This window comes from Homo sapiens, chromosome 17 (assembly GCF_000001405.40).
Source record: "Homo sapiens chromosome 17, GRCh38.p14 Primary Assembly".
NCBI lineage: Eukaryota > Metazoa > Chordata > Mammalia > Primates > Hominidae > Homo > Homo sapiens.
Genome location: NC_000017.11, coordinates 2,958,022 through 2,981,919, shown reverse-complemented (window position 1 = coordinate 2,981,919; position 23,898 = coordinate 2,958,022). Strand labels below are relative to the sequence as shown.

Here is a 23,898-nt window from a genome sequence, read left to right as displayed (position 1 = left end):
ATGCACTGGGTCTTTTCCTGTGGCCAATTTCAAGCAATTCACTGTCCATGGGTGACTTCAGTCCTCTTGTGCCATAATTATTCCTCAGTGGGTTTATTATTATTGCTCTTCTTCCCACTCACACGCCCATATCAGAACTGGGGTCAGTATCAGGCCAATTCAAAGGAAGCTGATATCAGAAAACCAGCTGGTTTATAAATGAAGGCAGCAGAGGCTTATATGGCCGGAGAGCTGCAGTAACACAGGCAATGGCGGGGCGGCTGTCTGGCCTTTCTCTTCTTGGTGTCTGCCTGCTGTACTTCCCGCCCCTCTGTGACAGCAGACTGGATCTGCACCAGCCCCCAGCTACAGAGTCACGTCCACCTCCAGCACTGGCCTCAGGGAGGTACCAATGAGGTGTGGTGGAGAAGCTACAACACTGCTACCCTCTGTCACCTTCACAGCAGCCTGGGGACCAATTCAGCTGGGCTGGAGACCTAGGCATGGCTGAGGTTGGGTTCCCAGTGGAGCAGTTTGTGAAGGGGTGGGCAGGGAGAGAGGGAGACATGGAAGCTTATTATGGAGACCCCACGAAACCCCACTATGATGCAGAGAACTCCCCAAAGAGCCACAGGTCTGCAAATCCTTGCCAAGCTGCAGGGCCCCTATGTTGGGAGCATGAAGGTCCTTACCTTGGGGTACAGGACAGGATTGAATCTCAGTCCCACTGCATCATCACAGAAAGCCTGAGAAGGGAGAAGAAGACGCAGGTCAGGGATGATATCTGTAGAGGACATCTGGGCTCCTCTGCCCACCTGGACAATGCGGCATGGGAGGGCGAGGCACATGGGTCAGGAGGCCTGGGCGGGGATTCTGACTGCTGCTCACTAACACGTGCCCAGGCAAGTCAACCGCCCTTTCTGGGGTTTGCTGATGAAGTGTGGGAAGGGATTAGACAAAGCCTGAGGCTCGTCACCGTTCTGGCCTGAAGACAAGGCCAAAAACTATCCAGCCCACAACTGCCACCAAAGGTTTCCAGCACAATTCTGTGACATTCCTGCTCCCAGAGTGAGGGTCCAACCAACCCAGCTGACTCTCTTGCTCACCCACTTTGCTAACTCAGTTCTCAGGTTCGCAGCCTCCTTACTCAAGGGGGTGCTCAATCTGGATCATCCTTCAGCCCAACTCAGCCCTTTCCTCTGCTGTGAAGGTTCCCCAGGCCACCCGCCCTCACCCCTCCACGGAAGTCCTACAGCACTCACCACATCCAGCCCCGTCTTTCTACTTCTCTCACTTCCCAAACTAGCTGTGAACTACCTGGAAGTAGAGACCATGGAGGATACTGTTCCTAAGCAGCCTCGGCAACAAGGATGAGCTATGGAGGGCGTAGGAAAGACAGAGGCATCTGCCCACAGCCCTCCCAGACCCCTATCAGTGCAGTCAATGGCCAAAGAGTAAAGTGGCCTCCCCTTCTCTAAGGGCTGAGCCTACCCAGGATATACCTGCACCCCCATTCCAGAGGCCAGCCCTGGGCTGAGAGAGGAAGCCACCATCTCTCACGGGTTGGTTTCTCACCTTTGCAATCTGAGGGACACTGGGAAGCTTGCTCAGTCCAGCCAAGGGGATCCGCTCATGTACCGTCTTCAGTTTGGACCTGCACAAGACGGGAGAAAAAAGGACATCCCTAAGAAACAGTCAGTGAGGGCGCGGGGACTCGTGCCTGTCATCTCAGCATTTTGGGAGGCCAAGGAGGGCAGATCACTTGAGGTCAGGAGTTCGAGACCAGCCTGTCCAACATGGTGAAACCCAGTCTCTACTAAAAATACAAAAAAATTAGCCAGACGTGGTGGCGGATGCCTGTAATCCCAGCTACTTGGGAGGCTAAGGCAGGAGAATCGCTTGAACCCGGGAGACGGAGGTTGCAGTGAGTCGAGATTGTACCACTGCACTCCAGCCTGGGCAACAAGAGTGAGACTCCACCTCAAAAAAAAGAAGAAAAGGAAAGAAACAGTCCAAGAGGAAGGTGGCCGAGATCACAGCACATAGGACACTGGCTTCAGGATTCTCTGAGGCCAGATCGGCCTCAGGTGGCCCAACCACACATCACACTTGCCTTGTGGGAAAACGGAATCCTACTTAGGCATGCTGGGGAGGTGGCTACTTAAAGAACACACCTGGCTGGGGGCAGTGGCTCATGCCTGTAATCCCAGCACTTTGGGAAGCCAAAGAGGGTGGATCACGAGGTCAGGAGTTCGAGACCAGCCTGGCCAATATGGTGAAACCCCGTCTCTACTAAAAATACAAAAATTAGCTGGGCGCGGTGGTGGGTGCCTGTAATCCCAGCTACTTGGGAGGCTGAGGCAGGAGAATCGCTTGAACCCAGGAAGTGGGGGTTGCAGTGAGCCGAGATTGTGCCACTGCACTTCAGCCTGGGTGACAGAGCAAGACTCTGTCTCAAAAAAAAAAAAAAAAAAAAAAAACAGAACACGCCTGATATATCTGTCTGCCACTGAAATACGGGAAATGCAAATAAGGATGCCATTATTTTTTGGTTTGTTTGGAGGTTTTTGTGTTCTCCCAAAGAACTGAGCACAGCTTCTGGATATATTTGGGTTTCGTCATGAAATTAAACCTTTATGAAAAGAAAACCTAGTATTTCAAAATCTGGGCTTACTCAAAATATAAATGGGATGGAATCTGCTTCATAAAGGGATTCACCATGAGGGTCTAAATTTAGCCTGATCCCCTGATTCATTCAGCACATTATGAAAATGCTGGATTTTACTGAATGCTTTTCTGCATCTGAGGAGATAACCATATGGTTTTTAATCTGTTGACCTGGTGAATTACATTTCTGTTGAGCCGTTTTTTGATTCCATGGGTAAAAACTCCACTTACTTCTGACATATTATTTTTAATATCCTGAATTTTTTTATTTTTTTTATTTATTTATCTATTTGAGACAGAGTTTCGCTCTTGTTGCCTATTTATTTATTTATTTATTTGAGACAGAGTTTCGCTCTTGTTGCCCAGGCTGGAGTGCAATGGCGTGATCTCGGCTCACTACAACCTCCGCCTCCCGGTTTCAAGAGATTCTCCCGCCTTAGGCTCCCAAGTAGCTGGGATTACTGGTGCTTGCCACCATGCCTAGCTAATTTTTTATATTTTTAGTAGAGACAGGGTTTCACTATGTTGGCCAGGCTGGTCTCGAATTCCTGACCTCAGGTGACCCACCCACCTCCGCCTCCCAAAGTGCTGGGATTACAGGGGTGAGCCACAGCACCCGGCCGAAGTCAATTTATTAATACAGCAGTCCCCCTTATCCACGGTTTTGCTTTCCCCAGTTTCAGCTACCTGCAGTCAACCACGGCCAAAAAAATATTACATGGAAAATTCCAGAAATAATTCATAAGTTTTCAATTTTGTGCCGTCCTGAATAGCATGATGAAATCTTCCACCATCCCACTCTATCCACCCGGGACATGAATTTTCCCTTTGTCCAGCATACCCACGCCCTACACGCTCCCTACCCATCAGTCACTTATCAGCCATCTCAGTGATCGGAGGGACTGTTGCAGTATCTCACCGCCTGTGTTCAAGCCACCCTCATCCTTATCATACTAATAACGGCCCCAAAGTACAAGGCCCATGAGTGAGGCTGGCACTTTGGATATGACAAAGAGAAACTGTTAAGTGCCTCCTTTAAGTCGAAAGGTGAAAGTTCTTAATAAGGAAAGAAAAAAATTCTATGCTAAGGTTGCTGAGATCCATGGTACGGATGAATTTTCTATGTGTGAAATTGTGAAGAAGGAAAAAGAAATTATTGCTAGTTTTGCTGTTGGACCTCAAACTGCAAAAGTTATGCCCACAGTGCATAAATGCTTAGTTAAGGTGAAAAGAGGATGACATGTGTGGGTGAAAGATATAAACAGATGTGTTTCCATTGACGGCAATCAGGTTTGGGACTATCTGACATTTTGGGCATCCACTGGGGGTCTTGGAATATTTCCCCCATGAATATGAGGAGACTACTGTATTTTATTTAGATTTTCACAGCTCTGTTCAAAAGCAACACTGGCCTATTTTTTATTTTCTTGTGCTTCCCTTGCCAGGTTTTGATATCAAGGTGTTATTCCAGTCTTATAAAATTGCTGGGTTGCTTCTCATCTTTTTTTTTTTTTTTTTTTTTTTTTTAAGACGGAGTCTCTCACTCTGTCGCCCAGGCTGGAGTGCGGTGGTACAATCTCGGCTCACTGCAACCTCTGCCTCCCGGGTTCAAGCAATTCTCCTGCCTCAGCCTCCCGAGTAGCTGGGATTACAGGCATGCGCCACCACGCCCAGCTAATTTTTATATTTTTAGTAGAGACGAGGTTTCACCATGTTGGCCAGGCTGGTCTCCAACTCCTGACCTCAAGTGATCCACCCACCTTGGCCTCCCAAAGTGCTGGGATTACAGATGTGAGCCACCACGCCCAGCTTGATCCTTTGAAATAGTTTGTATAATAAAGAGATTTTCTCATTCCTTAAAGGTTTGCTAAAACTAGTCTGTGACATCTCTGGGCCTGCTGTTTTTATAGGAGGATACTTTTGCGTACTAATTCAAATTCTTTAGTGGTGAATGTTTAGGTTTTCTACTCCTTATTGAGTCAATTTTGGAAATTTATATGTTTATATAAAAGCATTCATTAAGCACATTGATACAAAGTTGTTTTTGGTATTCTCTGAAGACTTCATCTTTGTTTCTAACTGCGTCCTCACCTTTACTGCTGTAATACTATTTGTATCTTTTCTTTTCTTTTTTTCTTTTTTTTTTTTTTGAGATGGAGTTTCATTCTTGTTGCCCAGGCTGGATCTCGGCTCACTGCAACCTCCGCCTCCCAGGTTCAAGTGATTCTCCTGCCTCCGCCTCCCGAGTAGCTGGAATTACAGGTGCCCGCCAACTCGCCTGACTAATTTTTTTGTATTTTTAGTAGAGACAGGATTTCACCATGTTGGCCAGGCTGGTCTTGAACTTCTGACCTCAGGTGATCCACCCGCCTCAGCCTCCCAAAGTGCTGGGATTACAGGCGTGAGCCACCACACCTGGCCTGTTTGTATCTTTTCCTTGTTTTCCCTTATCAGTTTTAGCTGGAGGTTTATCGATCTTACTAGTCTTTTGAAAGACTAGTAAGATCTAGTAAGACTGAGTTTTTTCTTTTACCATCTCTATCCTTTTTTATTTTTGCTTCCTATTTCACTAGTCGGTTCTTGTCTTTTTTATTTCCTTCCTTCTATTTTCTTCAGAGTTTTTTCAACTACTCTTTTTCCAGCTTCCTGACCTACATACTTACTCATTTAATCTTTTTTTAAAGTGCATTTAGAACTATACATCTCTCTCTAAATACCACTTCAACTGCAGCCCACACAATTTGATACACAGTATCTTCACTGTCATTTAGTTCTAAATATTTTGTCAGTTCTTTTGTGATTTCCTCTTTAGTCCATTAGTCATTTTTTAAAGTTTTTAACTTTCCAAATATGAGATTTTTTCCCCTCCAGTATTTTAATTGTTGATAATTTGTCTTATATTCAAGGAACACAATCTAAATGATATTATTTGAAATGTGTTGACTTTAATACATGGACTTTTACTTTTTGCCACTCCATGTGAGCTTGAAAAAATGTATTTTTTTCTTTTGCTAAGAGCAAGAATACATGTTAGCCAAGATCAAATTTGTTAACTGTATCTTTCAAGTCTTCCATAGCCTCACAATTTTTTGCCTGCTCAATCCACCGGGTTCTCAGCAATGTTGTCAAAATCTCCCACTATAACTCAGTGTTTATCCACTTCTCCTTCTATTTCTCTCAGTTTTGCTTTTTAAAATTCAAGACGACGTTATTAAGTACAAGTTAATGACTGTTAGATATTCCGGGTGAACAGAGCGTGTTCACGGAACATCAGGGTGATGAAAAACAGAACGTGCCCTCTTTATAATCACACAGGCCAAGGCCTCTGGGGGACCTAGAAAAAGGACTCTTTCCCTGCCCAGTTTCTGAACAAATTCAAAAGCAAACAAACAACAGAGTAAGGTGTTCGGAGTCAAAATCACTCCACCACGTGGGAGCACACGGCTTAGTGTGAAGATGAAACGGGTCTAACTAAATACCAGAATCAGCCCAACTTACCCACCCAGTCACAGGCAGTGCGGGCCAGGGGCAAGCCCCCTCCCATGGAGCTGCTCAGGTGAGACTTAACTGCACAGGAGACCACCCTCAGGGCAGCTCTGTCCAAGAGGAAAAGGGGGAAGGAACACAGCTACACACGTGAGTTCCTGCTCCCAAACACGCCCATCAGGGAGGGTGAAGAGAGCCCGGGTGTTACACCAAAGTATTCCCTCTAGCCACAGGAAACATCAGGAGTGGGGAAGAAGTATTCCAGGTTACAAAGGAGTACATTATCCCTAGTCTTTTTGTCCTGAAATTCTATTTTGTCTGATATTACTATTGCTATACCAACGTTCATGGTACTTTCCCAGCATATCTTTTTCCATTCCTTTATTTTAAATCTTTCCACACCATTTTTCTTTAGGTATGTCTCTTATAAGCAGAATATAGCTATATTTTTAATTCAATTTGATAGGCTGGTATTGTAATAGGCTAATTTAATCTATTTATACTTATTGCAATTACTATCATATTTGAAACTTTTTCTTTTTCTTTTTCTTTTTTTTGAGACGCAGTCTTGCTCTGTCACCTGCTGGAGTAGTATTGTGGCGCAATTTCAGCTCACTGCAACCTCTGCCTCCCAGGTCCAAGTGATTCTCCTGCCTCAGCCTCCTGAGTAGCTGGGAATACAGGCACATGCCACTACGCCCAGCTAATTTTTTGTATTTTTAGTAGAAATGGGGTTTCGCCATGTTGGCCAGGCTAGTCTCAAACTCCTGACCTCAGGTGATCCATCCACCTTGGCTTCCCAAAGTGTGGGGATTACAGGCGTGAGCTACCGTGACTGGCCTGAAATTATTTCTAAACCATCATTTTATATTTTCTGTTCCCTGTGTTTTCTTTCCTTTTTTTCTCTTCCTTTCCTACCTTCAATTGATGTTTTGTTTTTTGCTTTCTTTTTGTTAATCCTCCTTTTATCTCCTACTAATTTGCTATAGACTGTATTTCTGTATCTTCCAATACACCTATTTATATTTTTTTCATCAAACTCTAAGATTGTATTCTCTCTCCTGAGGGGCACAAATAAGCAACAACAGAGTATGCTTTTATCCACTGAACATTTTTTCCTTCCCATTGTCCTTGCTACTTTTGTTTATAAATTTAGTTCAAGCCTCCTTTTAAACATGCAAAAAAAAAAATCCCACTTTTTACCATCAGTAATTAAATTTATCAACATATTTTATCTATTTCTTGTCACTTTCTAATTAAATCTTTTCTGGTTTTTCTTTTCTTTTGACTGAAGTGTATCCTTCAGTAATTCTTTCAGAAAGAGCCCGAGTGGGACATTCCCTCCATTTTTTTATGTCTGAAAGCAGTTTTATTTTGTCTTTGGCTTTTCTAGGTATAGAATTTTAGGTTGAGGGTTATTTTCCTTCTTTTTTTTTTTTGAGATGGAATCTCGCTCTTTCGCCCAGGCCAGAGTGCAGTGGCGCTATCTCGGCTCACTACAAGCTCCGCCTCCTGGGTTCACGCCATTCTCCTGCCTCAGCCTCCCAAGTAGCTGGGACTACAGGCGCCTGCCACTGCGCCCAGCTAATTTTTTTTTTTTTTGTATTTTTAGTAGAGACAGGGTTTCACCGTATTAGCCAGGATGGTCTCGATCTCCTGACCTCGTGATCCGCCCGCCTTGGCCTCCCAAGGTGCTGGGATTACAGGCATGAGACACCACGCCCGGCCCCTTCTTTCTTTTTTTAAACACTTGAAAGATATTGCCCCATTGTCTTTAACAACTATCATGGATAGGGAGAAATCTATTTTCATCCTAGTTCTCATTAGATCATAGATTATCTTGTCTGTATCCTCAGACAGCTTTTAAAATTCTTTTAAATTTTTAAAATCTTTTATTTCTGATGTTTCACTTCAGCATGTCTAGAAGTATTGTTTTGTTTTTAAATCACTTTCAGCAGCACGGTGTGTGGTTTCTTCAATTCTGAAACATTCTCATCTAATATTTTTGTGGATATTTGTTCACTAGTTTATTCTTTCCTTCCGGAACGTCTTTATGACACATGCTGGGGCCTCCCAGTCTATTATCCACATATCTTCTTTTTCATATACTTCATCTCTTGATCTGTGCTGTGTTCTGGAGGAATTCCTTGGGTCTATCTTCCAATTCATAAATTCATTATTTAAACAGACTAGATTTTATCCCATGTTGTTGTTTATTTCTACAATTATTTCTTGAGTTCCAACAATTTTACTGTTTTCCTTTTGTTTGTTGAGAAGGATTCTTGCTCTTGTGACCCAGGCTGGAGTGCAGTGGTGTGATCTCGGCTCACTGCAACCTCCACTTCTCAGGTTCAAGGGATTCTCCTGCCTCAGCCTCCTGTGTAACTGGGATTACAGGCACCCACCACCACGCCTGGCTAGTTTTTGTATTTTTAGTAGAGACAGGGTTTCGCCACATTGGCCAGCCTGGTCTCGAACTCCTGACCTCAGGTGATCCACCTGCCTTGGCCACCCAAAGTGCTGGGATTACAGGAGTGAGCCACCACGCCCGGCGCCAGAGTGATCATTCTACTGTGCAAATCTGATCATGACCTTCTCCCTTCAGTACCTCTCCTATGACTCTTAGGATAAAATCTGAGCTCCTAAACATCACTGGTACAGGATCTAGCCTTTTCTTACTTCTCTAGCATCATTTATCAACCCTACACACACTCAGACACACCCTCCACATTGCCTTCAGTTCTCCCTCACCACCTACGTCTCCCATCAGCCTCACTAGCCTATAATGATCCCTGTCCCTAAGAAGAAGATGATGAGTAAGACCGAGAACAGAAACAAGAATCTCTAAAACGCAGTGCATTTGGACTGAATGCCTTCTATGGGCAAGTAGCAAGAACTCATTCCTCACAGTATCTCTACAACCAGACAAAGTCCGGCATATATTAAGCCTTGGGTAAACAAACACTGAATGAATTTCCTAATATTAACCATCCTGCATTGGTAAAATAACTCTTTCTTGGCTATAGTGAATTACTCTTATTAGTCTATTTAGATTTGAGTTTCTGGGGCTGCTATTTTATTTACAACATTGATTTCTACATTCGTAAGGAATATTGGCCCCTACCCTTTTTTTGCATCTCATTTGACTGATTTTATTCAAAAAGATCCTTTTTTTTTTTTTTTTTTTTTGAGAAGGACTTTCACTCTTGTCACCCAGGCTGTAGTGCAATGGCACAAGCTCGGCTCACTGCAATTACAGGTGTGCACCACCACGCCCAGCTAATTTTTTTGTATTATTAGTAGAGACAGGGTTTCACCATGTTGGCCAGGCTCATTTCAGGTTTCACTCATGTTGGTCGTGAACTCCTGACCTCAGGTGATCCACTCGCCTTGGCCTCCCAAAGTGCTGGGATTACAGGCGTGAGCCACCGTGCCCAGCCCATAAAGCTCTTTTAAGCATTATTAATTGGGAAGCTTTCCATATTTTTTTTTCTTTTCTCTTGAACAGTTTAAATAACATAAAATCTGCTCCTTTAAAGTTTAAAACACCTTCCTGCAAGACCATCTAGATCTAGAAACATTTGAAGAGATAATTCTTTGAGAACTTTTTCAATTTCTTCCACAGTTACCGGTTTGTTCAGGTTTCTTTTTTACCTCATCTTAAGTTACATTTGGCATACTTTCCTAGAAAGGCATCTGTTTCAAATAAAATTTCAAATAAAATTAGAAACAGAAGCAATTTAATAGCATGAGTTGAACACAGCATCCATTAGTAATCATTTAATCTTCTTCACATCTGTGGTCATGCATCTTTTTATGACTAATTTTGTATATTCTTATTTTCTCTTCTCATCTATATTCGACTAGCTAGTTACCTATCTTATTGCTTCTTCCAAAAGAAACCTAGGTTTATCAAGTCTCAAATTATTTTTATTTCTAGTTTATTTATTTCTGCTTTAATCTTTGTGAATTCCTTCCTCTGGCTTTCTTTAGGTAACAATATTGATAATAATAATAGCCACCATTACTGAGCAGCTGCAGCATGTAAGGTCCTCACTCACCAGGACATGTAAGCACTCAATAATTTCAAGGTACATGCTACCATCATCATTTCACAGATGAGGAAAATGAGACACAGAGAAGTTGCTAACAATAATAACAACTTGCAAATATCACTCTTATTTTTATTTTACTGTATTATTATTATTTTTATTTTTGTAAAGATGAGGTCCATTCTATTGTTCAGGCTGGTCTCGAACTCCTGGGCTCAAGTGACCCTCCTGCCTCAGCCGCCCAAAACGCTGGGATTACAGGCATGAGCCAACACACCTGCCAGTTCTTTTTCTTATTTAATAGGAAACCATTTAAGGTAATAAATTTTTTTCTAAGTATTGCTTTGAATACAACCCATAGGTTTTATGTATAGTATTATAAATGTCATTACTTTATAAATATTCTGTAACTGCAGCTTCTATTCCCTTTGGCCTAAAAGCTACTTAAGAAAGTATTGGGATTGTTTACTTCTCAGTGGTTTAGTGGTTTTTTTAAATCATTATTTTGTTATTAATTGCTAGTTTTATCATCAAATTGTAAGTGAATACATCCAGCAGAGAGCTTGCTCTCTGAAATGTATTTAGTTTTACTTTGTGGTTCAGAAGTTCCTAATTATAGCTGCTATCGATAATTACCTACAAGTAAGTTAGTTACATAGGTCGACTGATTGATGGATTGATTGATTTAGTTTATTTATTTAAAAACAGGGTCTTGTTCTGTCACCCAGGCTGTAGTGCAGTGGCACAATCATGGCTCATTGTAGCCTCGACCTCCCAGGCTCAAGCAATCCTCCTGCCTCAGCCTCCTGAGTAGCTGGGACCACAGGTGTGTGCCACTTCACCCAGCTAATTTTTTTTTTAAGAGATGGGGTCACCCTGTGTTGCCCAGGCTGGTCTTGAACTCCTGGGCTCAAGTGATCCTCCCGCCTCAGCCTCCCAAAGTGCTAGGATTATAGGCATGAGCCACTGTGCCTAGCCAAGATTTTAAAAAATAGAATCTTAAATAACAGCCCAATTTAAAAAGAAGCAAAGCTTATAAACTGTTCATAGCAAATAAATAGAGGCAGTTCTTAAATATATGAAGAGATGTCCAACATGATTCATATTAAGATTATAAATTTAAACAACACTAAATACTATTCTCATCTATCAGACGGGCAAAAATCCAAGTGTTTGACAATACATTCTACTGAAGAGGCTTTGGAATAAGAAGCACTTTGATACATTACTGGTGAAAGTTGGAATTTACACAGCCCCTACAGAGGGCAATTTAACGTTATCTATCAAAATACAAATGCATTTATGTTTTAACCTAGCTATCTCATCTGAGAAACTATCATAATCCATAAAAACTGAGTCTGCACAAGGTTATTCATTTAATCATTATTGTGTTACCAAAATATTGGCAATGGTCATTAACAAGGGACGTATTATTATTATTTTTTTTTTTTTTTTTTTTTTTGAGACAGAGTCTCACTCTGTCGCCCAGGCCGAAGTGCAGTGGCGCCAAATCGGCTCACTGCAACCTGCGCATCCCGGGTTCAAGTGATTCTCCTGCCTCAGCCTCCCGAGTAGCTAGGGTTACAGGTGCATGTCACCACGCCCGGCTAATTTTTGTATTTTTAGTAGAGACAGGGTTTTGCCATGTTAGCCAGGCTGGTCTTAAACTCCTGACCTCAGGTGAGCCATCTGCTTTGGCCTCCCAAAGTGCTGAGATTACAGGCGTGAACCACGATGCCCGGCCCAGGGGATGTATTAAATAAATTATTTCACATCCATGCAATGGAATACCATCCAGCAGTAAAATAAATTAAGACATTCTCTATATGCTAATACGGAAAAATCTCTAAGATACATTGTTAAGAGAAGCAAGTTACAGAATTCTACAGAATCCTGTGGAAATAAGGAAGGAAATAAGAATATATATATTTAGGCCAGACGCGGTGACTCACGCCTGTAATCCCAGCACTTTGGGAGGCAGAGGAGGGCAGATCACCTGAGGTCAGGAGTTCGGGACAAGCCTGGCCAACACAGCGAAACCCCATCTCTACTGAAAATACAAAAAAATTAGCCAGGTGTGGTGGCATGAGCCTGTAGTCCCAGCTACTTGGGAGGCTGAGGCAGGACAATTGCTTGAACCTGGGAGTTGCAGGTTGCAATAAACCAAGATTGCACCACTGCACTCCAACCTGGGCAACAGAGCAAGACTCCATCTCAAAAAAAAAAAAAAAAAAAAAAAGAATATATATATTTACACATCTTTACATATCTTATTTATTTATTTATTGTGTGTGTGTGTGTGTTTCAAATGGTTGGGTTGGAGCCTAGAAGTCTAGGTTTTGGTTTTTGTTTGTTGGGCTTTTTTGTTTGTTTTTGCTTTGTTTTACTTTGTTTTAAAGATCCAAAATGATTCTGATGTAGCAGGTCCACAGAAAACCACTGATCTACTATGCAATCAATTTGTGTAAATATTCCAAAGGCAATTGAAAAGAAGTAAAATCTGTTAGAGGATCAAAGTCTGATAGTTAGATACAGAAACAGATATATATATATATAGATAGATAGATAGATAAAGAAAAATATGTATATAATTGATATTGAGATGAATAAATGTCATTTCTAACCCTAGTATTGATATGTCAAGTGATGTGTGTTAAAAATCTACCATTACAATTGTATTCTGTGAATTTTTCCATAATCATTACATACATGTGTACATATACATATACTATAATATATACTACTGACAATATAAAATATCATTATTGATTTTACCTTTTATGAAAAGATGGATAATAGCCCTCTTTATCACACTGATTGCTTTTTTGCCTTGAATTCTACTTTTCTATATTAATATTGCCAATCCCGCTTTCTTTTTGTATTTGACTTTTCTAATTTTTTTCTTAACAATTTTCAAATATTCTGAGTTACTTTCTTTAATAAAATATAGATCAATTTGTGTAGGTTTTTTGGAGAGATGACCCAAATCGAGAATCTTTGTTAACAATCGAATTTAAGTCATTTATATTTATTATCATCACATATGTACGCACACTTCTATCATATTTCTTTATTATTCCTTTGTTTTCTTTTTCTACAGACAAAGTGTGTTTTCTTTGTCTTCTCTTACTATTTGGAATGCTTCCATTCTACTACTAGTAACTTTATATCTATGAAATACTAAATTTTCATCAAAGTACATCCAGCAATTAGTTTCCTTTCATTGATTTTGTCTGTTAATGGGTGAGTCATTTTGATTTTCAGATTTAAGTCTTCAATCAGCTTGACAACATCAATTATCCATATGTGTAATTCCTGCTCACTACCCTCCATATTCATCATCATCTCACTCATCATTTTAAAGTTGTGTTTCCTTTGAATTATGTGAGAGTTTCTTAAGCTTGTTCCCCATATTAATAACTGGATTTTCTACAAAGTAGATTCTGCTTTGTACTGTTTCATATACTATTTAAAATTCTTTTTGTCCATTTTTATTTTATTATCTCCCTAACTTAACCAGCAACTGTTTCCTCCCATTCTGTTGGCTCACTCTATCTTTTCTTTCTTAGTGTGTATTTTTTCTAGAGGTTTGTGGAAAATTCAAAGTTAATAAATCTCTCAAATTCACCTGGCTTTCTGTAAAAGTAAATACTTTTCAAAACTCTGTTATTCTCTAACTAGTTTATGCTTTTTTAGAGGCAGAATCTCTTCTTTTACAAACCCATAAAACTTCTTCTTCTTTATATCCAAACTTGAAACAGAAGAAATCTACACAGGCTCATTGTCTCCAAACTGTGGGTAGATTCTTCTTGGCTACTCTCATGGCACACACAGGCTGTTAGAATACTTAGATCTTAGACTGGAGAGCTGCTTGTTATAAATTTGGGACATCCGTTAAAAAATCCAGAAGCCTATGGGGAATGAGGAAGAAGTTTGGACAGTAGTCACCGCCAGCAGGGGAATTTCATCTCTGGATAATTTCTTCTTTGTGTCTGGCAAAGCTGCTAAACCGTGGAGCCAATTTCTTATGTCTGGTTTCCAATTTGGCCTGGCAATCACTCCAAGTACATGATGTGACTGCCCAACTTCCGAGCTGGGGTACGGCTTCTCGTCACCACCCTACCTACTAGCTTTCCATCTGGGAGAGCCACATTTGAGCTTGCTGGGCTTCCTGGGGCATTGATTTCAATGCTGTTGACCCACAACAACAAAAATAATTCTATGTGGAAAGATCCCTGTCTATTCCAGGGCTCACTCTCACTCCTAAAGAGGACAGGATTCTTCTAGATCTCCAACTTCATATATTCCCATACGACATTGCTTTTTGTTGTTGTCGTCGTTGTTGTTGTCATCGTTGTTGTTGTTGAGACAGAGTCTCACTCTGTCGCCCAGGCTGGAGTGCAGTGGTGCGATCCTTGCTCACTGCAACCTCTGCTTCCTGGGTTCAGGTGATTCTCCTGCCTCAGCCTCCTGAGTAGCTGGGACTACAGGCACCCGCCACCACGCCCAGCTAATTTTTTTTTGTATTTTTAGTAGAGACGGGGTTTCACCGTGTTAGCCAGGATGGTCTCGATCTCCTGACCTCGTGATCCACCCGCCTTGACCTCCCAAAGTCCTGGGATTACAGGCGTGAGCCACCGTGCCTGGCCACAACACTGCTTTCTAAGGAAGAGAATCTGGGGTTCAACTCTCAATATTCACCTACTTTTAGTCCTAACTGCCCCCATAGATTACAAAACAAAAACAAAAAACCATCAAAGTGCGTGTTGCGTGCCCGGCATTTTTCTTAGCTTTCAGCCCCGAAGCAGCATTTCCAGTCCTAATGGAGGATACAGTATTAGAAAAAGGGGGTTAGATCTTTGTATTCCATTGTCATCTTATTCAAAAATGCTACCCAGTCTCGGTCTGATTTTTATTAAGGTAGCAATTTTCTTCACAGAGGTTCACCTAGCTGGAAATCCTATTTGGAGATGGAGATCCAGGTATTAACCTCTCAGAAAATTGGCTCTTGCTATTTAATTGACTCTTCTATGCCTTGCAAATATGATTTCCAGCCAAGTGAACCTCTGTAGAGAAAATTGCTTCCTTTCTTGATAAGAAACAAACTAAGATTGGATGGGTGCTGACGACATCCTGAAACCACGGACCCCCACCTTTCCCAAAGTGGGGTTATATGTCCTTATTCCCTCCAATATTTATCTCAAAATTTGGGCAGGAAAAAAAAATGTGATTGCTCTTTTCCAAATACCTTTATGAATCTTCAATTAGACTCCACAAATAAGGATTGAGAGCCTGACAGGTTCACAGCATTCTGCTAAGCACCACCCAACCAGGGACAGAGATAAATAAGACACAGATTCCTTCGTGCCCCCATAGCAACCTGTGCATATTGCTAAAATCATACCCGTGACACACATTAAATTCATGAAACCATATGCCTTTCAGAGAACAGGGACCAAGTCTCAGCCATCATGGTATCTCTAACACCTATCGCAGTTCCTGGTACAGAGGAGGTTTTACAAAACATGTTAGCTAAACCAAACAGAAACCAGTTCCAGCTCCTGCCCTTGAGAAGGTCACAATCCAGAGAGAGGTGCCCTGGCTTCCGCTATAAATCAGTGCTCCTGTTGTGAACATCAGTGCATCTCAGGGAACCCAGCCCATACAACAAACACACAGGGCACTATCTTTCCTGGCAAGATGTATACCACAGGCAGCACTCTGGCGAACCCTCTCCCAGGACTCGGAGCTGTGTCTCAGCAGGATGAGTCACACTGAACCATCCCTACTTTTCTTCCCGTCTTCCTCAGAGCCATGGACTTGTAAGAAAGAGGGGCAGGAAGGGGTACAGTCTGGGTGACCTTGAGACCTGGATGCCCCTCTGACTGTCAGCTAACTGGTGGAGCGCGTGGGTCTCCCTGCTAGGCAACTTCAGACACAGCCCCAGGATTCCAGCAGGCCTGTCCCCGTCAGCCAGTGCACCCAGACCAGACTGGTCAGTCTGGTATTTCTGAGTCCCATCCCAGCCCCCACACCACCGATGAGAGCCCTGCCTGGAAGAGAAGTGGCCTCAAGCAGCGCAACAGCCCTACCTAAGGATGACCCGGAGGTACTCGATCCCCTCTGCTTCCTCGCACTTGACGGACAGGATCAAGTTCCCCAGGCTGCTGCCGGTACAGTAAAAGTTTAGATGATCCTAAAAAAAGAAACTGAGTGTGAGCAGGAAGGAGGAAGAAACCTTCCAGGTATGTTCCCCCTAAACCACCTCCTTCACCAGGAGAAGCCCCACAGCAACAAGGAAGAGAAGGATGCTACTGATGACAATGACAACGACATTAACAGGTACCGACGGCCGGATCCTCAGGAGGCGCCAGGCACCGTGCCAGGGGCTTAATACCCACTATCTCCTTCAGTCCTGACCACAGCTGTATCCGGGAGAGAACATCATCCCCATTTCACAGATGGGAAAACCAATGGTCGGGGGGTTAAGTCACTGCCCAGGATGACACGATGAGTAAGGGACAGATCCAGGGTTCAAACGCACAGCTGTCTTGACTCTGAAGGGCAAGTTCTTAACCACAAGATACCGAGTCCACATTCTCATTCCCATGGGGCGGCCCTCACCAGTTCACACTATCTGGGGCAAGACAGCAAGGAGGAACCCTGGCACCTCCACCCAGGGGAGCTGGGAGGTGTCCTGAGCCAGTGGGTCACTCCCTGGCTCGGGGAACACGGGCGAAAAACACAGCTCCCCAGACCTGCTGGATCAGACTGAGGCCCTGGAATCTGCATGCTAACAAGACCCAGGGGCTCTGAGGCAGCCTCCCGTCACGTGAGACTCTGCAAAGCGGCCTCAGGCTACAGATTTCCGGAATCTGCCCTCAGTACATCAAGAACCTGGTAAATCTGAAGGGCAGAATCTATTCTTTTAAATTTAACTTTGTCACTTTTAAGCAATCAGAGGCTCGCAGACACTATGCAGTACAAGCACTCAGAGGATCTGCCTGAATGAGGACGGAGAGATTTGCGTGATTTAGATGGAAACAGAGACTTCTTGAGGTGTGAGAACACATTTTTCCTCGAACAGTCAAAACTCCAGCCACCGTCCTTCACCCCAAACACTACCCATTCCATCGCCTCCCGAAACATTTGCGGGGGGTGGTCCCCACAAGGACTCATGGCACTGGGCCTCCCTGATTGTTACATGGCTCCCCTGCCCCGTCCCCTATCCCAGGACAGAGGCCCTCAGACCTCTCCAACTAAGACAGCAGCAGGCAGCAACAAAAGGACAGACTAGGAAGGAGGTAAGAGGCCAAGGAAAAGGGGGGCACTCTGCCCTACCCCCACCCCCGCCAGCTCCTCTCCCCCAGGGCCCCCAGCCCCTCCCCCCACCCCCGCCAGCTCCTCTGTCCCCCAAGCCTCCCCCAGCCTCACCCCCACCCCCCGCAGCTCCTCTCCCACAGCCTCCCCCAGCCTCACCCCCATCCCCGGCAGCTCCTCTCCCACAGCCTCTCCCAGCCTCACCCCCACCCCTGGCAGCTCCTCTCCCACAGCCTCCCACAGCCTCCCTCAACCTCTCCCCATCCCCTACCGCCTGGTACCTCCTCTCTCCCAGCGTCCCCAGCCTCTGCCCCCAACCCCCAGCAGCTCCTCTCCCCCAGCCTCACCTTCCCCAGGAAGTGCCTCCGGTAGGCCCTGGCTTCACCCTTGCACTCGAGCTTGTAGCCAAATGTGTTGGGGCTGAGGTTGTCCTCTTCCTCCTCCTCACAGATGCTGCTCCCCAGCGATGTTGGGGTGCCCACGTTCTCCGGGTCCTCGATCCAATAGCCCCCAAACTGTGGCAGGATGACCTGAGGGTACGGGCCTCCCTTCTCCACAACCTGAAGGCAGAGGGAGGGTCGTGCGCTCCCCTGGGACCGCAGGGGAGGGAGGGGGCCGGTGGCGGTGTCCCCTCTGCGCTGCTCCCAGGAGTGGGGCCTGGTACCCACTGGTACTTGAGGCCAAAGGCAGTGACATGAACCCCTCCTCCAAGCCCCACAACACCTCCAGCTTCATTCGCCAACCCTGTAGCCCCAGGGCTGAAAGGCCTAGATGAGCACCCCCAACTTAACACATGGAGAAGCTGAGGTTACAAAGGCAAAGACAGGAAGAGAGGTCCCAGGCCCAAGGTTCTCTCCCCTGGGGGGCTGGGCACAGGCCATCGCCATCATTTCCCCAGGGACGGGACCCAGAGCAGGCTGCAGGGCAGGTGGGAGTGAGGGGAGGGCACCTACCTCGTCGATGCTGGGGTATGGGATATAGTCGTCCTGCAAGACAAACCAGATGATGCCACCGTTAGTCCCGGCAGTGCCCGTAAAGTCTGACCACTGTTTCCAGGTCTTGCAAGGGGGATATGTTGTGGGGGGGCTTTGAGGGAGGAACATTCGATGGAAGAACAGCTCAGAATCAGCTCTGGAATCTAACATCCCCCATGTTCTTCTCCAAACTGACAGAACCCAAACATAAACCCTGCCAGCTGATGATGCAGTGTCCGAAGGTGCTGAACTTCTCACCCCTCGTGATACCAGCTTCTCATCCTAGAACGCTCATTCCGGAAAATGACCCCTAGTCTCCCCCAGCACCCCTTTCCAGGCAGGCGGACTGACCTCCAAGTGATAAGCGGCACCCCTGGGTTGGGAAGCTGAGAGCTGACTGCCCACTGGAACCCGGGGCACAGAGCCTGACACCCTTACACACTGCACAGGGTAGGGAAGAGCCGGGCCAAACGGCCAAGCCTGAGGTCCCACCGAGGCCTCCACCCCCAGCCTGCTCTGAAGCTGTCCTAAGGCATCAAGCCAGGACCCCTCTGCTGCCCACCGTGCACTGGTCTAACAAGGCAGTCGTGAAGCGGCCCGTGGTGCGAGTCAGAGTTAGACAGGTGTGAGACAGAAGACCCCAGCATCCCGGCAGCCCCTCCTGCCTTCCTCTCGCCCTAGCCCCTCACCAGGGCCGTCTGGCCACCCCCTCACCCACCCAGCCCACCTTGTTCTTCTGGGGTCCCGGCTTCTGCTCTTCAAGCTTGATCCCCTATAGAAACAAGGAAAACAGGATCCACAGAAAAGCAAAGGTCAGAAGACAGGGCCAGATAAAGAGCACCTGGCCTTACAGGGGGTTAGTAACAGGAGCAGCAGCAAAAGCTGGCCCGTGCTGGGCCTGCACACATCACACCTGGCCAGGGGCGGGCCTCACAGCAGCCTCAGGTGAGGCAACAGCGCCGCTGGGCTAACAGCATAGACTTGAGCCAGATCGCCGGGGTTCAAATCCCAACACTGCCACCTATCAGCCTGATGACCTTGGCAAGTCACAGAAACCTCTCTGTGACTCAATGTTCTCATCTGTAAAATGGGAATGATGATGGCATCGACTATGGTGGTGAAGGTTAAAGGTTAACAATGGGTTGAGCACTTGGAACACTGACTGGTATATAATAAATGCTGTGGGTCATTATCATCATGAAGGAGGCGGTATTATCATTCAAAGCTTAAATAGCTGTCTTGTCGGACACAGTGGCTCACGCCTGTAATCGCAGCACTTTGGGAGGCCAAGACGGGCAGATTACCTGAGGTCAGGAGCTCAGGACCAGCCTGACCAACATGGAGAAACCCTGTCTCTACTAAAAATACAAAATTAGCTGGGCGTGGTGGCGCATGCCTGTAATCCCAGCTACTCAGGAGGCTGAGGCGGTAGAATTGCTTGAACCCGGGAGGCAGAGGTTGCAGTGAGCCGAGATCGCGCCATTGCACTTCAGCCTGGGCAACAAGAGCGAAACTCCGTCTCAAATTAAAAAAAAAAAAAAAAAAAAAAAATCCTTAGGGTCACAGAGCCAGTAAGGGAAGGGAAACATAGGAAGTCATGCCTGTTGGTGTCGGAGCCAGCGCTCTAGAGCCCACGCCAACAGGCCTTCAAGGGACAGGCAGGAGGCCTGGTGCTGGCCCTCATTCTGCTGCGAACTTACTATTTGTGACCCTTGACAAAGCGTAGCTTCTTGGAGCCCCCAGTGTCATCTGTAAAATGAGGATTAGACGCTCACCTTTCATCTCACTAATGGAAGGATGACTGCAAGGATCAGATATGATGCCTGGGACTGGACTAAGGGAGTTTATCTACAGGTATCTGAAGAATTCACTTCTGGGGAGCAGTGCCCTGTCCAACAGTTTTGTTTGTTTGTTTGTTTTTGTTTTTGAGACGGAGTCTCTCTCTATTGCCCAGGCTGGAGTGCAGTGGTATGATCTCGGCTTACTGCAACCTCCACCTCCCAGGTTCAAGCAATTCTCCTGCCTCGGCCTCCCGAGTAGCTGAGATTACAGGCATGTACCACCACGCCCAGCTAATGTTTGTATTTTTAGTAGAGACGAGGTTTCACCATGTTGGCCAGGCTGGTCTCGAACTCCTGACCTCAGGTGATCCACCCGCCTTGGCTTCCCAAAGTGCTGGGATTATAGGCGTGAGCCACTGCACCCAGCCTCTTCTTTTTTTTTTGAGATGGAGTTTCATTCTTGTTGCCCAGGCTGGAGTGCAGTGGTGGGATCTCGGTTCACTGCAACCTCCACCTCCCGCGTTCAAGTGATTCTCCTGCCTCAGCCTCCCAAGTAACTGGGATTACAGGCATGTGCCACCATGCCCAGCTAGTTTTTTGCATTTTTAGTAGAGATGGGGTTTCACCATGTTGCCCAGGCTGGTCTTGAACTCCCAACCTCAGGTGATCCACCCGCCTCAGCCTCCCAAAGTGCTGGGATTACAGGCGTGAGCCACTGCGCCTGGCCCTGGTCCAGCAGTTCTATCACTGAGTTCTGACTTAACCGTGTTGTGCAGGAGGGGAACACGTGGTGTTTCCAAGACTATCTGAGAAAATCGGGTGACAGTATGAGACGGTACACAAACTAGAAGAAACAGGTCCCCTCTGAAGCAGAAGGAGTCCAGAAGCAGCGTCTGCCTGGTCACAACACTAATGCACAGGGATTTTGACCTTCCCAAGCTAGCTCTCTCTGTGGCCTCCTTTGAAACTCACAGCACTTTCCACCAGCGAGGACACTGGGGCCCCAGAAGGAGGCTGCTTGCCTAAGGTCACACAGCCAGTGAGTGGCAGGGCCTAGATTTGAAGCCGGGTCACCGGCTCACCAAGCGCGTGACGTACCCCACACTCTGTGGACAGCAGGGCTCCTGTTAACTGGGTGGATTGACATGCAGCCTCTGCGGACTTCCCTGGGCTGAGTCGCCTTGCAGCATTGTTCAGGAGGGCGTGGGAGGGCCGTTCCCACTGAACAGGCGCTCCCCTCACACACACACAAAGCCACCTGGGTGGCCCTACAGACCCTGTCCCAGCTGGCAAACTGGGCAGATGGCGGGTGGGGGCAGTGAGGGCAGGAGTCTGTTTTGTTTGGCCTGCATTAGTCATCCCTGTCTGGGAACAGCCCCGAGGGCAGGAGAGCAAACTTCCTCCCATCCCCTCCCCACGCCACTCCCTCCCCTAATAACCTACCGCAGAGCCACTGCCCAGCACGGGGCCCTCTCTCCTCCATGTGCTATTTTGCTAGAGGTATTGTCTTTTTTTGTTGTTTTTTTTTTTTTTTTTTGAGATGGAGTCTTGCTCTGCCATCCAGGCTGAATGCAGTGGCGCAATCTCGGCTCACTGCAGCCTCCACCTCCCGGGTTCAAGAGATTCCCCTGCCTCAGCCTCCCAAGTAGCTGGGATTACAGGCGTGTGCCACCACACCCAGCTAATTTTTCTATTTTTAGTAGAGACAGGGTTTCACCAGGTTGGCCAGGCTGGTCTCGAACTCCTGACCTCAGGCGATCCACCTGCCTCGACCTCCCAAGTGCTGGGATGACAGGTGTGAGACACCGCAACTGGCCACAATGGGTATTATCTTTATTTCCCCTTCTCCCCTCAGTGAAGAAATTAAGGCTCAGAAGGGGAAACCGACTTGACTGAAGATACTCAGCTAGAAAGCGTCAGGGTTAGAACCTGAACCCAGGACTGAAGGAATCCAAAGCTTCTGCCTTCTCCCAGTTCCCAGACTCTTGGGCTAGGTATCGGGAATCCCGGATTCCAGTTTCAGCTCTTCACAACTAGCTAAGTGACCCGGGCGCTTCACTGCTCTGAGCTTCAGTTTCCACACGTGCAAGATGAAGAGAGATGGAGCCCAGGCTCAAGGCCCACGCGGGCACTCCATGGCCAGCAGTGCCCCATACGTGAGCTTCTTACTAAGAGTGAACCCTCTGAGGCTGGGCCCAGGGGGCACATGGTAGGGACTTAAACACCCAGAAATTTGGCTTCAACAGTCTCAACTGAAAGGGAACAGGCACGCTACCCAGGGGGATCAGCCATTGCACAGACAGAGGGAGAATAAAACAAGACCCCTACCCTAGAAAGCACCCGATCTACATGAACAGACAAGCCCTGCAGCCTCTACACAACACAACACTCTGAGGCTGGTTAACTGGGGCTGAATGCTGTGCTCAGAGAGACCCTGTGTGGGGCAAAGTTGTGGGAAGGGGACTCCAGCTGGGGGAGAAGGAAGAGAGGATCTGAGGAGCAACCGGAGAGAAGGCTGGGTGGGCTGCAAACCCCCTGCCAGCTTCCCAGAGTGCCAGGATCCCACTGACTAGAGGCGAAAATCCCAGCTTTGCTCCAAGCAATGGAGCACTTGATTATATACCATCTCCCACCCCTCACTGTGAGGCACATGCCAGCCTGGTTTCCGCAAGCTGATGATAAGTTCCCTAAATGCGTAGAAGATGAGTCTGTCATCTACACGCTGCTGGGCGCAGAGGACAATTTTAATAACTGGCTCTCGGTGACACGGCAGTAACAATACTTTCCCTTCAAACAGCGTCTCCCCTCCCTCCCCACCCTCAGGGACACCTGGCTGCTTGGCCCACATCTCAGGACTGCCGTGGGTGCTGTATTTGCCCCTCCTCCTAGGACTTCCAGACCATTATTGCAGAATCTTCCTCCCTTGAGCCTGGAGCACCTACTTATGGTAAAAAGCATCATGACATAATGGCTGGACTCTCTGGCTCTGAAGCTACTTATGAGCCACGCACCCTTTGAGTGCTGCCTTTAATTGTTCTGTGCCTCGATTTTCTCACCTGTCCTATGGGGATAATAATAATAATAATATGCCTACTTCTGAAGGCCTTAGCAGGAAGAAATGACGCCTGTCAATCTCTGAGCCCAGTGAAGTGCTTGAGCTACAGGTGTATTATCAGCATTGTCTTCCCAGTCTTCCCGCCCACGTCAATGAACCCTGCCGGGCCTCTGCACATACTCCCCAGGGCAGCAGCTCTTACCTGGGAGCCCTGACCCTGGTGAGGAACAACGAAGAACCCCCAAACCCACATCACACACCAACTTTTATGTAGTGTCTACCAAGTATTTACACCGATTATCTCATTTCACCCCAACCACCATGTAAGTGGGTGCATTCATTCTTATTTATTTATGGAGGCTTAGCACAGGAAAGGAACTGGTGCTAGTAAGTGTCTGGTGCAGGACTTGAACACAAGCCAGCCTCCCACCCCACCCCTCTGCCTCCCTATGCAAGATGACTCCTCCAAGAAGCAGCTAGTTCTTTCAGGCCTTCTTTCCAGCTCGTGCTAGGAACAATGGACCCTTCAAACCCTCCTCCACATCCACAGGGCTTATGGCCTCCCCAGCTGCCCTGCTGGGGAA

At 46.3% G+C, this 23,898-nt stretch overlaps 1 protein-coding gene and 1 long non-coding RNA gene across 16 annotated transcripts in view, besides 3 other annotated features; one reads left to right on the top strand and one right to left on the bottom strand.

Moving 5' to 3' along the window:
* RAP1GAP2 (RAP1 GTPase activating protein 2) overlaps window positions 1-23,898 on the bottom strand; it is a 282,097-nt gene that overhangs the window by 55,822 nt on the left and 202,377 nt on the right. For 9 of the 15 annotated variants that reach the window (XM_047435668.1, NM_001411048.1, XM_024450659.2 and 6 more), the window contains 6 exons: window positions 19,206-19,250; window positions 18,458-18,490; window positions 17,852-18,064; window positions 16,277-16,380; window positions 1,555-1,633; window positions 672-725 (listed from right to left, as the gene is read on the bottom strand). In XM_047435668.1, the coding sequence (XP_047291624.1) occupies window positions 672-725; window positions 1,555-1,633; window positions 16,277-16,380; window positions 17,852-18,064; window positions 18,458-18,490; window positions 19,206-19,250 (528 nt within the window). Of the gene's footprint in view, window positions 1-671; window positions 726-1,554; window positions 1,634-6,144; window positions 6,260-16,276; window positions 16,381-17,851; window positions 18,065-18,457; window positions 18,491-19,205; window positions 19,251-23,898 lie in introns of those variants that run through there. The other 6 variants (NM_001438816.1, NM_001438818.1, NM_001100398.2 and 3 more) reach the window with 2 other exon arrangements.
* Window positions 15,691-16,191: an enhancer, noted in NCBI's record as "H3K4me1 hESC enhancer chr17:2869023-2869523 (GRCh37/hg19 assembly coordinates)". NCBI's record gives its function as "activates a minimal SCP1, AML or CMV promoter by ChIP-STARR-seq in primed H9 embryonic stem cells {active_cell/tissue: H9 hESC(primed)}" and the evidence as "EXISTENCE:reporter gene assay evidence [ECO:0000049][PMID:30033119]".
* On the top strand, window positions 16,025-19,673 carry RAP1GAP2-AS1 (RAP1GAP2 antisense RNA 1). The gene is made up of 3 exons (NR_110818.1): window positions 16,025-17,488; window positions 17,955-18,040; window positions 18,677-19,673. It is a non-coding gene; the product is annotated as an RAP1GAP2 antisense RNA 1 (long non-coding RNA).
* Window positions 16,192-16,692: an enhancer, noted in NCBI's record as "H3K4me1 hESC enhancer chr17:2868522-2869022 (GRCh37/hg19 assembly coordinates)". NCBI's record gives its function as "activates a minimal SCP1, AML or CMV promoter by ChIP-STARR-seq in primed H9 embryonic stem cells {active_cell/tissue: H9 hESC(primed)}" and the evidence as "EXISTENCE:reporter gene assay evidence [ECO:0000049][PMID:30033119]".
* Window positions 21,266-21,807: an enhancer, noted in NCBI's record as "H3K27ac-H3K4me1 hESC enhancer chr17:2863407-2863948 (GRCh37/hg19 assembly coordinates)". NCBI's record gives its function as "activates a minimal SCP1, AML or CMV promoter by ChIP-STARR-seq in primed H9 embryonic stem cells {active_cell/tissue: H9 hESC(primed)}" and the evidence as "EXISTENCE:reporter gene assay evidence [ECO:0000049][PMID:30033119]".